The following is a 15576-nucleotide window of genomic DNA, read 5'->3' on the forward strand; positions in this document are numbered from 1 at the left end:
GGGCCTCAGTACCACCGTATCCTATTGCTGTAACTATAAGACCCTGACCCCTGGCCTACTCAGGCCAGCAGAGGGGCCGGGGCTTCTTCCCTAGCCATGCAGCTTAAAATCTCAGTAGCCTAGAGTGGAGGTCCCGTCCCAGAGCCTGGCATCTGACTGCTGAATGTCTATGGGCTGCCCTAGAGAGCAACAGGCAATGAGGCATGTACTCTTGCCACTATTCCCCCTCCATGATTTTTCCCAAGACATGCTACTCCAGAATGCCTGTTTGAATGCTGCCAGATCTTTGTCCTTGTCTGTACGTCAGGCAGAATCTAGTGTTAAGAGGTAGAGCAAAGGACCCAGAGTGTTCTACGCAAGGCGATATGGTTTTTAGCTGGGCATCAGAACCATCGGTCTCCTCCAACTCTCCTTTCTAATTCTCCTGGCTCTCCCCTCAATCCCTGCAAAAACTAACACAGTAGGCTGCCGTTTTCTCTGCTGAATATGCCCTTCCCCACACCCTTCTCTCCTTGACTGATCACTTCTAAAACAGCCAGGGCCCATCACCCTGGACAGAGCTATACATGCCACCCAAGCAACCCTCACTCAGCACAGGAGCTTGTAATGGAAAAAGCCAAAAACATCAGGGACAATTCACACAGTCTTCTTCTTAAGGATTTTATGAAGTTTCAGTTAATTATTATTAGATTCCTGGACATACCATTTAAAAAAATATTTCTGAGGTTCTTCTGGGATGAGAAAGTAATCCCATGGACTTGAAACATTCAGTTACTTAAAATAGAAAGAAGCTCCTTGAAACTATTTCTTGCTCCAGAATTTTTTAGATACTATTCTGAGTGGCCACAGTGGCTGGAGTGGCTCAAACTCTTACCAATTACCTATTCTAGTATATCACACAGGTATAACCTCTTTGGGATGGACCCACAGTGCAGTCTACCATTGTTTCAACAAAGACAAATCCTTTATTTCTCCCAAATTACTGGCCCACTAGTCTATATTTTAAGAAATTTTATGAAACACATTGAAGTGAAAAGTCTACGGTAAGAATTCATATTAAAGTGAGAACTCTGTGCTAAGAAAATCTCAATGCAGCCAGGTGTGGTAGCTCACACCTGTAATCCCAGCACTTTGGGAGGCTGAGGTGGGAGGATCACTTAAGGCCAGGAGTTCAAGACCAGCTTGGGCAACATAGTAAAACTCTGTCTCTACCAAAAAAAAAAAAAACAAAATGCAATTTTAATAGAAAAATATAAAGTATTGAAATTGTCTTTAAAGAAGTAAAAAACCTGACTAAATCAATAACCATGAAAAAAAGTAATAACCATGAAAAAACACTCCTCAGTTTTAAAATAATATTTAGAGTAAAAGCCACACAACCTTCTTTGAATTGAATTTAACATTTTATTTGGGACAATGTTCTTCTTTATAATACTAATTATTTCCTACCCTGGAAAACTCCATTTATATAGGTATTACGTCTTCTAGTAAAGTTTTAAAAAATAATAAAGGATAGTCCTATTTTATATTAAAGTTATTAAAAAACAGAATGGATAGAGCAATTGAATACAAGAGATGGTCCAGAATTAAGGCTTCATTCCCATAAAAACTTAATATGGGATTTTAAAAAGCATTAAAAACCAGTACAGATCTGTTCTGCGAAAGACATTGTCAAAAGAATGCAGAGATAAGCGATCGTCTGGGAGAAAATATTGCAAAAGACATATCTAATAAAATACTTGTACCCAAAATATACAAAGAACTCTTAAAACTCAACAAGCAGAAAACGAAAAGCCTGATTTTAAAAAAGAGCAAAAGACCTGAACAGACACTTCACCAAATAAGACACATGGATGGCAAAGAAGCCATCTGTATATCTTGAAAAGATGGTCCACATCATATGTCATCAGGGAAACGCAAATTAAAACAGCCATGAAATAGCACTACAAATCTATGAGAATGGGCAGAAGCGAGAACACTGACAACACCAAATGCTGGTCAGGAAGTGGAGCAACAAGAACTTGCATCCTTTCCCGAGGTTCTTCTCCTTTTCTGGTAGGAATGCATCCTTTGCTGGCAGGAATGCAAAATGGTACAGCCACTTTGGAAGACAGACTTACAAAACTAAACACAAGCTTACTAAACAATCCAGCAATCATGCTCCTCAGTATTTACCAAAAAGAATTGAAAACTTACAGTCACACAAAAACCTGCACACAAATGTTTATAGCAGCTTTGTTCAAAACAGCCAAAACTTGGAAGTGACCAAGATGTCCTTCAGTAGGTGAATGGATAAAGTGCGGTACACCCAGACAATACAATACTATTCTGCACCAAAAAGAAATGAGCAGGCAAGCCCTGAAATGCCATGGAGAAAACCTGAATGCATATTACTAAGTGAAAGAAGTCACTCTGAGTCAGGCATGGTGGCTCACCCCTGTAATCCCAGCACTTTGGGAGGCCAAGGTAGTTGGATCACCTGAGGTCAGGAGTTCGAGACCAGCCTGGCCAACATGGTGAAACCCTGTTTCTACTGAAAATACAAAAATTAGCCAGCCATGAGGCCGAGAGGCTAATACAAAAATTAGCCTCTCATGAGGCTGAGGCAGGAGAATCACTTGAACCTGGGAGGTGAAGGTTGCAGTGAGCTGAGATTGCGCCACTGCACTTCAGCCTGGGAAACGAGCAAAACTCCATCTAAAAAAAAAAAAGCCAATCTGAAAACACACTGTAGGATTCCAACTATATGACATTCTGGAAAAGGCAGAACTATGGATCACTGATTGCCAGTGGTTAGGAGGAAAGAAAGAATGAATAGGCAGAGCACAGAGGCTTTTTAGGGCAATGAAACTACTCTGTATGATACTATACTGGTGGGTGCATGTTATTAGACATTTGTCCACACCAATAGAGTATACAACAGTAGGTGAATCCTAATATAAACTCTGGCCTTCGGGTGAGTGATAATGATGCATCAATGTAGATTCATCAGTGGTAACAAATGTGCCACTCTGGTGCTGGATGTTGATGGGGGTGGGAGGAGGCTGTGTGTACATAGGGGCAGAGCAGACATGGAACTTTGCATGCTTTCCACTTAATTTTGCTATGAACCTAAAACTGCTCTAAAATATAAAATCTACTCAAAAATATTAGCCAGGCATGGTGGCATGTGCCTGCAGTCCCAGCTACTTGGGAGGCTGAGGTGGGAGGGTCGCTTGAGTCCAGGAAGTGGAGGTTGCAGATTGTGCCACTGCACTCCAGCCTGGGAGACAGAGCGAGACACTGAGAAAAGGAAAGGACAGGATAGGACAGGACAGGACAGGACAGGACAGGACAGGACAGGAAAGGAAAGGGAAAAGGGAAAGGGAAAGGAAAGGGAAAGGAGAGGGGAAAGTGAGGGGTACTATTTAGATTCTTCCTAATTCTTATAACTCCAAAATAAAATTTAGATGGATTAGAGATTAAAATGCAAAATAAATAAACAAATTTTAAAAATTAAAAAGAAAATACATGTGAACATTTTATCAGTGGTTTGGGAAAATATTTGTTAAACAAACAAAAATCACAATCTAAATGAGCAAGACTTGATAATATAAATTTAAAACTTTAGTAAACAAACAAAAAACTAAAATCAAAATGCTGTAGCAGCATCATTCCTAATAGTCAAAAGGTGGAAACAGCCCAAATGTCCATCAACTGATGAATGGATAAACAAAATGAGGTATGTCCATATAATGGAACATTACTCAGCAATAAAGAGAAATAAATTTCAAAACAATATGTTGTTTTATATAAATAGAGACACATTTTCTTATTATAATAGATAAATAAGGCCGGGCGCAGTGGCTCACACCTGTAATCCCTGCACTTTTGGGAGGCCAAGGCGGGTGGATCACCTGAGGTCAGGAGCTCGAGATCAGCCTGGCCAACATGGTGAAACCCTATCTCTACTAAAAATACAAAAAATTAGCCAGGCATGGTGGTGGGCGCCTGTATTCTCAACTACTCAAGAGGCTGAGGCAGGAGAATTGCTTGAACCCAGGAGGCAGAGATTGCAGTGAGCCAAGATCGCGCCACTGCACTCCAGCCTGGGCAACAAGAGGGAAACTCCGGCCGGGCGCGGTGGCTCACGCCTGTAATCCCAGCACTTTGGGAGGCCGAGGCGGGTGGATCATGAGGTCAGGAGATCGAGACCATCCTGGCTAACAAGGTGAAACCCCGTCTCTACTAAAAATACAAAAAAAATTAGCCGGGCGCGGTGGCGGGCGCCTGTAGTCCCAGCTACTCGGGAGGCTGAGGCAGGAGAATGGCGTGAACCGGGGAAGCGGAGCTTGCAGTGAGCCGAGATTGCGCCACTGCAGTCCGCAGTCCCGCCTGGGCGACAGAGCGAGACTCCGTCTCAAAAAAAAAAAAAAAAAAAAAAAAAAAAAGAGGGAAACTCCATCTCAATAAATAAGTAAATTAAATAGATAAATAAAAATGAATGATGTACTGATAAATGCTACAGCATGCATGAATCTTGAAAACATTATGCTAAGTGAAAGAAGATAGTCATAAAAGACCACAAATTATATGATTCCAAATATATGTCCAGGACAGGCAAATCTATAGAGACAGAAAGTAGATTAGTGGTTGCTTTGGGCTGGGGAGATTGGCAGGATTGTGGGACAATAGCTAAGAGGTATGAAATTTCTTTCTGAGGTGATGAAAATATTCTAAAATTGATTGAAAATACTCTAAAATGGATTATGGTGAATATTGCACAAATCTGTGAATATACGAAAAAAACATTGAATTGTACACTTTAAATGGATAAATTGATGGTATGTGAATTATACCTCAACAAAGAAACCAATGGCAGGCTGGGCGCGGTGGCTCATACCTGTAATCCCAACACTTTGGTAGGTTGAGGCAGGTGGATCACCTGAGGTCAGGAGTTCAAGACCAGCCTGGCCAACATGGTGAAACTCCGTCTCTACTAAAAATGCAAAAATTAGCCGGGCATGGTGGTATACGCCTGTAATCCCAGCTTCTCAGGAGGCTGAGGCAGGAGAATCACTTGAACCCAGGAGGCAGAAGTTGCAGTGAGTCGAGATCGCACCACTGTACTCCAGCCTGGGCAACAGAGTGAGACTCCGTCAAAAAAAAAAAAAAAAAAAAAAAAAAAGAAACCCATTGGCAAATCACAAACAGTTTAAAAATTTGAAGTAAAAATGATAAGGGGCTAATCTTCTTAATATACGAAGATGTCACGAAATCTCTTTTAAAATACCCCAAGACCAATAAGAAGACAATTCATAAAAGAAGGAATACAAATTACCTCCCCATTCAAACAAATATCATTCATTCTCACTAGTCATCATGAGAATGCAAATGAAAATACAATGCTGTCTTGCTATTTTAGCTTTTCAAATTAGAAAATGCTGTGAAGTACACCCAATAAACTTTAAACTTTAAACAGTGCAGGGTTTAAAGGTGACTGGAGGACAGATACCCCCCAGCTGCTGAGGGAAGTACAAACTGCACAATCTTTCTGGAAAGCCATGTGTCCACACCCAGAGAAAGAGAAGGCCTTGAAAATGTTCACAGCTTTTGCCACATAATTCTATTTCCAGAAGTCTCTCTTAAGGAGGAAAATAAAAGTCCAAAATAAAGATTCTGAACCAAGAGGCTTTGCATCAGTGAAAAAACTGAAAACAACCTAAAAGACTATTAAAAACATTATTTTCAAAGAGTTCTAAGTGACATGGGTAAAAGCTTACGGCATGCGAAGCGAAAAAGCAGGATATAAAATTATATCTCAGATGCTGCAGGATTTCAATTATATAAAAAATGCATTTTAAAAGGTCAGAAGAAAATGTGTGGCTGGATTCTGCATGCTTCTTTCCTCTCTCCCTCCCTCCTTCCTTCTACCATTTTATGTATTTTAGTATTTTCCATAGTGAGAAAGCATTTCTTTGATAATGGGGGTAGGGTAAGGGAAAAAGTAGCAACTGAATCTATTAGCTAATCATTTTTTAAAAATAGGCACAAAACCAATGCAATCTATTAGCTAATCATTTTTTTAAAATAGGCACAAAACCAATGCAATCTATTAGCTAATAATTTTGCCCAAGAGCCCAGCTTGACACAAATGAGATTGATGCTAATAGTGCGGCACTTGGCAGATATTTCCCAGCATTCAGACAGGCCATACAAAATAAACAATTCCTTCCAGTAGGTCTATTCATTTAGTCACCTTAGATAGCCACCAGCAGCTCACTCATTTCAGGAAGTTAGGCAGGATGTCATTCATTCTGCAGGGTTATTCTGGTGGCGCTGATTGACAAGCCACAGTGGCCTCTTCCACAATGCACTACGGAGAAGGCAGAGTCCCAACAGGGCCAGGGTCCAAGCACTTCAGCAGATTAAAAGTTTCCTTCAAAGGAAATGCCCACTCAGACATAAGCACTGCTCTTACCCACCTGACAGAGTGGGGTGGTCTCAGACCTTCCCACCTGAACATGTAGATCCCTCTTGGACCACTTCCCGCTTTGAAGATAATACCACCTTTGCTGTCCTGAGACTCGAATAATAATGTTTGAGCGAAGGTACTCTGAAAACCCCAGGGATCCTCCTCAGTGTAAAGTATTATTAAGATGCCAGTAGCATCCTCACTGCTTTAAAATTTCACAATATCCTCTCAGCTTTTATGAAGTCTAGAGAAACTCTGGAGAAATGATTGAAAAAGACTTTCTGTGTGCATCTGGTTCTTCAAAGTGTCATCTATAAAGGATCCATGTAATAAATACTCCTTGAATTCTATGGCAGGAAAAGTCTGTCTCTTCAGAGAACTTGAGTGCTTTCTCTTATCAGATAAAAGGAACGAGCGAACATTGGTATATTTCACCTTTGGCCCTTGCTCGGTGACAAATTTGGTTCTTAGCCTCTTTCACACTCCTGTCCAGGTCCTTGGTCTTGCCTATTTCTCTTTTTTATATTGTGTTTAATTTTTAAGACTGCTTCAAATACTTTGGAGATCCAGTCAGTATATGAGTCACTGTCTCTCAAACCAGTGTCTGGTCTGCAGAAAGTCCTTAGATACGTTCTTTATGAGAATCGGTGTCTGGGCTCTTCATTTAGATCATAATGCCTTTTAAATGGGATGCAAGAACTTTTCAGATTATATGAATGACCACGTTATAAAGGGGGTCCTGCCACAGGAGTCTGAGCCTGTGTTTGTGTCTGCAATCTCTTTGCAGGTAGGTCATGCTATGCTAAATGTCAGAGGTTACTGAGGAAAGAAGGGGGCAGGATGATATGGAAATGAGACATTTGTGCCAACTGAACACAAGGAGATTTTCCTGTACACTACTTTAAATAGAGAAATGTGGTGGGAGATCCAAGCCCCAAAATAACACAGGGGAGACGGAGCAAGACTCCCCACAGATTGGCGAGTACCACAGCCTCCACACAGTGCACAGGACGCTGCCACAATAAACCAGCATCCTCTATGACAAAATGAACGTGGTCGATTTGCATTTTATTTATTTTATACCTGTATTTGTGTCTTGTTCATTTGTTTTGCTTTCGGAGTTGGGACAGAACAATAAACATAAAGAATTAAATATGTATGACTATAGAACATACAAATAAAAAAAGAGTTAAATAGGCCGGGCGAGGTGGCTCATGCCTGTAATCCCAGCACTTTGGGAGGCCGAGGCGGGAGGATCACAAGGTCAGGAGATCGAGACCATCCTGGCTAACATGGTGAAACCCCGTCTCTACTAAAAATACAAAAAATTAGCCGGGCGTGGTAGCAGGCGCCTGTAGTCCCAGCTACTCGGGAGGCTGAGGCAGGAGAATGGCGTGAACCTGGGAGGCGGAGCTTGCAGTGAGCCGAGATCGCACCATTGTACTCCAGCCTGGGCAACAGAGTGAGACTCCATCTCAAACAAACAAACAAAAAAAAGAGTTAAATATGTCTATGCATATTTAAACAACATCAAAATCATTAATTAGTCGACACTAAAGCTTCATAATATTTATTTCCCTTAAGGGGAATCTATACACTATTTGGGTCTGAAAAAAACTATGAATTTTAAATGTAATAAATATATGTATGCATTTGGACCCACAACTAAGCTACATGGAGTAGCTAATGCTAGGTAAGAGCTGGTGACAGTCATTATTATTACTTATAATGATAATGATCAAAGTTCCCATTTGTTAAATATTATGGTGACTGCTCAATAGTCCTAATCTCATTTAATCCTCAGAACAACCCTGTAAAATAGGAATCAATGCTTATTCCCATTTTATAGATGAAAATCCAGTGCCCAGAAGGAATGAAATTACCCAGCCAAGGTCAAGCAGCAGCACGGAGCAGAGGTAGGAATCCACTCCCCACCCCCAGGTGCCACTGCCCTGCCTCCCTTCTAGATGTGGCCCAGGGCAGTGGAAGGTATCACTTCCTATTCCTGGTCTGGGGTTGTGACTCTGAAGTTCATGAGACACAACCTGGAGCTTTTGCTGTCACTGACGCCTAAAGGTGCTGCCTTGTTCCGAGCAATGCTGCCCTGGTTAGGTATGCTGTGACCTGCCACCATGGCAAATGGGCACATTCCAAGGATGGGGTTTAAGTCAAGAAATATTTCATGCCAATGGAACCATCCATGGTCTTCCATGCCCTAGTGGCCTCCAACCCAAGGCTGCACTCTCCCATTTTCCAACTGAGCTTTCACACCACAGTGCTCACTGCCTCTTTTCACTATACAATGTCTGGTACTCAGTTGGCGCTCTGGAAGGGGTGTGGAAAAGAATGACGTTTGCTGATCTTGGAGAATATTTTTCAGAGGACACAAACTACTCTTGTAAGGCAGTATTAAGCCTTGAGAAATGCATAAACAAGCATGGTTCTTAAAAACAACCAGAACTGCCATTTCTTGAGCGGTTACAATATGCTAGGAACTACGCAAAACACAACATAAATGATTTCATTTTATCACAGCAACTACATTGGTATCATTCCACACATTTTACAGCCAAAATCTAAGTACACTGTCCAAGTCACCCAGTGTGTGCTGTAAGGCAACCTGACAACAATTTAACCAAACCCATGCTGTCATCCATCTGCCAGGGTTTCCCATACCATGAGCCATGCACCCTGGTGAGACCAGGATGATTCTAGAGTGTACAGCGTCAAGTTGGATGATAAAGGATTTTTTAAGAAAAAAAAAAATAAAAGTGTACAGCAAACATTCCAAAACACTGAACCACACATTAAGAAAGCAGTCCCCTTTCAAATCTTTCAGTTCCACTTAAATCAAAAAGAAAAGACTTCAACCAGTAAAAGAATGCCTTCAACACCTCTTTACCATGCATTTCTCCTTTTGCGCCATAGAGGGAACAGGGCCTTAAGCCCACAGGCTTCTGTAGGAATCTGTGTACCACAGAATTTAATACCAATGTGTACTTTTTATTATCTATATTTTTATATCTAACTTCTATCTATATCAAGAGATACTGGTTTTTTCATGTAGAGTGGCAAAGTTTCCTTTTAAAATATACTTACTTAGAAAATATGAATTGACTTAAAGAAAATATTAACTTAATAGCACAACGAAAAAATTTTGGAAAGAGTGGTGATGGCTGCGCAACATTGTGAAAGTAATTAATGCCAATGAATTGTATACTTTAAATTGGTTAAAATGACAAATACTCTGTTACCTACATTTTACCACAATTTTTAAAAATTAACCGCATACACCAAAAACTGCTGAGTTGTACACTTAAAATGCATGAATTGTATGGTACATGAATTTAAGAAAATAGTAGCACTATGGTACAAACATAAGCCAAAAACGAGGTTGGTGGTTCTCAAATGACTGAAGTTTGGGAAATGCTGCATTATGCTATTTTGCTTCCATTTTGTTAAACTAATTATTTTTTAGTTTAAATAAGGTAAAGTCAAGGTGGGAAGGCAGGATGAAGGCCTGTAGCATAAACATGCTGGATTCTTTCTCTAAGTTTTAGATACAAGGAAAAAGAAAGTGAGCAGAGAAGGAAACTAAGGAGATAAGTTTCAACTGAGAATTAAGAGCTTGCCACCAATCTACTCAAAAATGGAATTAAACAGAAACAGTCACTGGGGCCAGTCAGGGGAACCTGTGTGTCTCTGTGCTGGGACAAAGTAGGGGGGTATCGTGGTTCATGTCCAAGACTTCCAGTGTGGCTGATGAAAAAAAGACTGAAGAAGATTCAAAGATTTCTTAGAAGGATGCAGATGAGCAACCTAAGTATTGGGGTTCACAGAAGAAAGGGCTGTGTTTCCTCTGCATTTGTATTTTAAGTTGAGGACTCAGATTTAACCACCACACGGGGCCAGGCGCAGTGGCTCACACCTGTAATCCCAGCACTTTGGGAGACCAAGACAGGCAGATCACTTGAGGTCAGGAGTTTGAGACTAGCCTGGCCAACATGGTGAAACCCCATCTCTACTAAAAATATACAAAAATTTGCCAGGCGTGGTGGCACACGCCTGTAATCCCAGCTACTCAGGAGGCTGAGACAGGAGAATTGCTTGAACTCGGGAAGCGGAGGCTGCAGTGAGCTGACATAGAACCACTGCACTCCAGCCTGGGTGACAGAATGAGACTCCATCTCAAAAATAAAATAAAATTTAACCACCACACAAATGGGGCAGGAATATAGAGTTACCCAAGGTCTGGAGAAACTTCCAGAGGCTTGTCCACTCAGGATGAAATTTCTCAGCTGTTACGATGTTCATTCATCCTACCTAAGCCACAGTGATGAAACCACGAAACAGCTATTTTTCAAAGCCCCGAATAAAATGTTCCAAAACCTGAGCTTACTACGAAGTTTCCTAGTCACATAGCAAGTGTCTACGGAACACATCTGCCACGTTCTAGCACTGGCCTGGATCCCACAGGAGAATTCCAGAAGTGTGTCCTGTACAGCTGTGTCCCTTAAGGAGCTTCCAATGAATTGGGAAGATGAGGCCCCACATGAAAAAACAGGGAGGCCGGGCGCGGTGGCTCATACCTGTAATCCAAGTGCTTTGGGAAGCCGAGTCGGGAGGATTGCTTGAGCTCAGGAGTTTGAGACCAGCCTGGGCAGCATTATGAGACGCTGTCTCTACCAAAAATACAAAAAATTAGCTGGGTGTGGTGGTGTGTGCTTGTGGTCCCAGCTAATCAGGAGACGGAGGCTGCAGTGAGCTGAGATCGCACCATTGCACTCCAGCCTGGGTGACAGAGCAAGACCCTGTCTCAAAAAAACACAAAAAACAAACAAAAAAAAAACCAGAGAGAATTATGTGATACCTTATCACCAGGCACCAACTTGTACGATGAGACTATAAATAGAACTAAATTAAGTTAATGTTTCTAAGTGTTTAGAAAAGTGGGACCAGGTGCGGTAGCTCATGCCTGTAATCCCAGCACTTTGGGAGGCCGAGGTGGGCGGATCCTAAGGTCAGGAGTTCGAGACCAGCCTGGCCAATATGGTAAAATCCCGTCTCTACTAAAAATACAAAAATTAGCCGGGCGTGGTGGCACGCGCCTGTAGTCCCAGCTACTCGGGAAGCTGAGGCAGGAGAATAACTTGAACCTGGGAGGTGGAGGTTGCGCCACTGACTCCAGCCTGGGTGACTAAGCAAGACTCCATCAAAAAAAAAAAAAAAAAAAGAGAGAGAGAGAGAGACAGAAAAGTGCTTGCACATGAAAAATTCAGAAGTTGAGAAAAACTTCCTAAGAGATGAAGAAGGCAAGCTCCCCTCGGTCAAATAGCACTGGGATGTTGAACTTACCCTTCTGTGAAAAAGGCATGATATTTTCTATTTAAAGTAATAAAATAATTCATTGTTCATTTCCTTATCCCTTCAACAAATAAATACTCATTATTTATCAATGAATAATAAATATTCAAAGCCTATCCCAGGCTCCCCAAGAAATGGAAGAGTGAGAAAATTTCTGTCCTCACTGGTACTGGAGAGACCACACAGGAGAGCTGGGAGGACTTTTCTGGCAGAGGAAAAGCATGATTAAAGGCACAAAGGCATGAGCGCAAATGATGTGTCTGGGCCACAAGAAACACCTTCTATATGGGGGAAGGGCTGTGTGAGAGGGGAAGGGAGTTTGGGTGTCTGAGAGGACCCTGATTCCCATGCAGGGTGTATATTGGAGACCTGTCAGCAAAATGTATTCAGGAGAAAAGGAAATTCTGTAAAATACAGATTGAAAATGCAGTTTATTTTTCTTAAGTTGAAAACTGTCTTTGCTTGTTTTTGAAATAATTCCAGACATTCAGGCAGAATGTATCAGCTCTTTTGTAAAGTCTGGTCATAACTGAGAACACGAGTGCCTGACCACCCATCCCACCCCGAGCAAGCGCTGCCTCCAGATGCATAAAATAACACAAACGAGTGGCTAACAAAGTGTTACCAAGTCAACATCCTGCCCTATCTGCTTTCAAGAACAAATAAGTTGCTATAATTAACCAATGTCTGAAAAGGTACCACAAGCATGGTTTACAGTATGCTTAGAAAATGATTCTGAAGTAGGCTATAAACATGTCTCTTGTTTACACTGCATTTATCTTGTTTACACTGGCTATTTCCTCAGAAATTCAGCATCACAGCTATTGTCATGTCCTTAGAAAGCACAAAAGGAAACCTCAGACCTGGCCTTGTGTCCAGATTCCCAGTGTGTGGACCCCAGTGAAGGAGCCTTTGCTCTACTGAAAATATTTGTGGGTTCACAGGGTTGGAGGTGAGAGGCTTGCAATGGTGGGACTCAAACCTTAAGTTTCAATAACCCTCACCTTCCCCCACCTTCCTGGCAAACATCAAGACTGCTTTTTCATTTTAGTCATCACCATGGGTCTTTCTTCTTTGCTCACCCACCTTGGTCATTGGGTAGTGAATTTCCCGTCCAACTAACCCCTTTCACTTACAAAGCTCCCAACAGAGAGTGACAGGTATACCCAACCCACAAGTCACCAGCTACCCCCAAAGTCACATACAGTCATCATACTGATGGTAAGAGGGTCAGTGGAATGCCAAGTTCTTACCCACCAGATGTCTTACTGACACTGAAGTCAGGGGAGGGAGGAGGTGACAATTATTTAGAAGTGTTAGTGTGAGTTAATTAAAGTGACATCAATCATTGTTCTCATCACCGTCGTCATCATCATCATCATCCTCATGATGCCAAAAAGATAAGGCAGAGTCCTACAGATACTTTCCTAATTCAGACTTTAAATACAGTCATGGCCAGGCATGATTACTCACACCTGTAATCTCAGCACTTTGGGAGGCCAAGGCAAGCAGATCACTTGAGGCCAGGAGTTCGAGACCAGCCTGGGCAACATGGCAAAACTCTGTCTCTACAAAAAATACAAAATTTAGTCAGGCATGGTGCACGCCTGTAGTCCCAGCTACTTGGGAGGTTGAAGTGGGAGGCTCACCTGAGCCCAAGGAGATCAAAGCTGCAGTGGCCCATGATTGTGCCACTGCACTCCAGCCTGGGAAACAAAGTGACACCCTGTCTCAAAAAACAAAGAAAAAAAAATACAGTCATGGTGGTCACACTGTCTCCCTGGAAACAAAGAGAAAGTTGTAGAAACGAAGAAGGAGGAATGAATCCACTTCTTCCACACTCCCATGCTGGCTTCCAGAGGTGGTTGGAGCTGGTAACTTTGGAATGCAGGTGGGCTCACTCATCATATGCAATCGTTTTGCCATCCCAGTGTTCTGTGCCAGACGCAGACTCCTAAGGCTGCCTGATTTCACTGCACATCGGTGAATTTGCAGCGCTGGGTGGAGGGTTCTGGGTCAAGGATCTACTGACATCAGCCCAAATCTTTTCTAGCTCACACAGACAAGGAACAGTATTTCCTTCATTCATCAGGTAATTCACCTGGCCCTCCTCAATGTACTTGAGGTTCAAGATCAAGGGAGCAGGACAGGAGGAAAGATGACCTTAGGCCTCTAAGACTTTTATCCAGCACTCCCCACTCCCTTAAATAAATGAACTATTAGCTCTAAATGAGCTATTCAAAGTGTTCATTTCTTGTTGCTGCTTTTTTTAAAGCAAAGGCCTATAGCTTTTCCCTTCCCCTCCCCAACCCACCCTACCTGCTCTTCAGCTTGAGCAAAAATAGCAAAACATCTGAGGCTGCCATGACAACCAATGAAAGCACCGTGGTGCCCACTCTTGTCCACCAATGATAAAACCTGCCTGCGGCTCTCCCAGTCCTCTCCCAGCTGGGGCTGGGGCCCTCTAACTTTCTTCCAAGTTCAACCTTCAGGAAGCTTTCCCAAATAGAGCTGCTCTATCCTCAACCAAGAAGCCAAGGGTCAGCTGGAGTTGTCTCAGCGCCCAGTGCCTCTGAACTTTTTGATTTGTTCTCCTTTGCTCCTTTCAGTGTCTCCAGGCACATGTGACAGAGATGACTATCTCCATTTTGCAGATGGAAAAATAGAGGCATGGGCCATGAACTGACCGGCCCTAGTTCATAAGCTTCTGGTTTAATGGTAGAACCACATGCAGAATTCAAAGCTCCCAACTCCAGATCTGGTTAGCAGAAGAACAGAAGGAACAGCCACTCTCAGAAAACATGACCCAAAAGGGGAAAAGATTCTGCTAGGTGAGCTGCATCTCAGCCACAGACTGACATTCCCTCAACCAGTCTCTGGGATATAAACCTGGGAAGGGTTGGAGGAAAATCTACTTCCCCACCATGGTAAATGGGCTGCACAAAAACCCACCTCTATCCTGGATTCAGCGTCTCGGGCTGCATCTACCATGCACAGGCAACCAGAAGAGCACAGGTAAGCTTCCTTGGCGGGGTTTATCAGGATCCTTAGGGAGCACTATCCAACCTGTATCCCATCTCCACACCTGTGAGAAAGTGCTCCCCTCTAGGCACCCAGGTCTGGAGGCCTGCAGGCCCCTGTTTCCTCGTTCAGGAAACCCCAGTGTTGCTAACAAAGCAGGAGCTACCACAGCCCCCCCCGAAAGGCTTCCTCTTTCTTCATCTCTTTCAGACACTTATAAATGTGCTTCCTCTCCCTATGTAAATTTCGTCCAAATGGCACAACGCAGGCTTGTCATGAGGCCATTAATAACTCACCTTTTCACAGGCTCTTCTTGGTTTCCTGGTTCAGGAATCAGTTCTTATCTAGACAGACACTGATGTCTGGATTTACTGGTGTGAGGACGGACAAATGGGCTTTGTCTGGGGCAGGCCACATAAATGTGATTTATTTTCACTAAGTCAAGAACTGAGAGGCTGAAGGCAACTCTTGACAATAACTAAGCTGAAGAAATTGAGAGTAAAATTTCTTCCCTTTTGTCTGTCTCCCACTCAATGGTCAAAGTCCCAGGAAAGGCTGAAACGGTGTTTACTTTCCCCCACTTAGGCTGACCCTTCGCATTCCGACCAGCTGAAAGGATGGAACTGGCTGGTCAGTTTCACTTTCCACTTTCAGGAAGGGTAACTTTCTGTTCTCATCCCTCACCGTGAAAGGCTGCATCTGGCTTTGTGGCTTGGTCAAGGCTGGGTGGAGGTGGG

General features: G+C 42.7%; 1 protein-coding gene across 4 annotated transcripts in view, besides 4 other annotated features; it reads right to left on the reverse strand.

The window, feature by feature from the left end:
* PIK3AP1 (phosphoinositide-3-kinase adaptor protein 1) overlaps positions 1–15576 on the reverse strand; it is a 127200-nt gene that overhangs the window by 65173 nt on the left and 46451 nt on the right. The gene's annotated exons all lie outside the window — the stretch shown is intronic.
* Positions 6203–6272: an enhancer, noted in NCBI's record as "active region_3831". NCBI's record gives its function as "activates an Ori minimal core promoter by ATAC-STARR-seq in GM12878 lymphoblastoid cells {active_cell/tissue: GM12878}" and the evidence as "EXISTENCE:reporter gene assay evidence [ECO:0000049][PMID:35858748]".
* Positions 8383–8452: a silencer, noted in NCBI's record as "silent region_2656". NCBI's record gives its function as "represses an Ori minimal core promoter by ATAC-STARR-seq in GM12878 lymphoblastoid cells {active_cell/tissue: GM12878}" and the evidence as "EXISTENCE:reporter gene assay evidence [ECO:0000049][PMID:35858748]".
* Positions 15265–15334: an enhancer, noted in NCBI's record as "active region_3832". NCBI's record gives its function as "activates an Ori minimal core promoter by ATAC-STARR-seq in GM12878 lymphoblastoid cells {active_cell/tissue: GM12878}" and the evidence as "EXISTENCE:reporter gene assay evidence [ECO:0000049][PMID:35858748]".
* Positions 15465–15534: an enhancer, noted in NCBI's record as "active region_3833". NCBI's record gives its function as "activates an Ori minimal core promoter by ATAC-STARR-seq in GM12878 lymphoblastoid cells {active_cell/tissue: GM12878}" and the evidence as "EXISTENCE:reporter gene assay evidence [ECO:0000049][PMID:35858748]".

This window comes from Homo sapiens, chromosome 10 (genome assembly GCF_000001405.40).
Source record: "Homo sapiens chromosome 10, GRCh38.p14 Primary Assembly".
NCBI classification, from domain to species: Eukaryota; Metazoa; Chordata; class Mammalia; order Primates; family Hominidae; genus Homo; species Homo sapiens.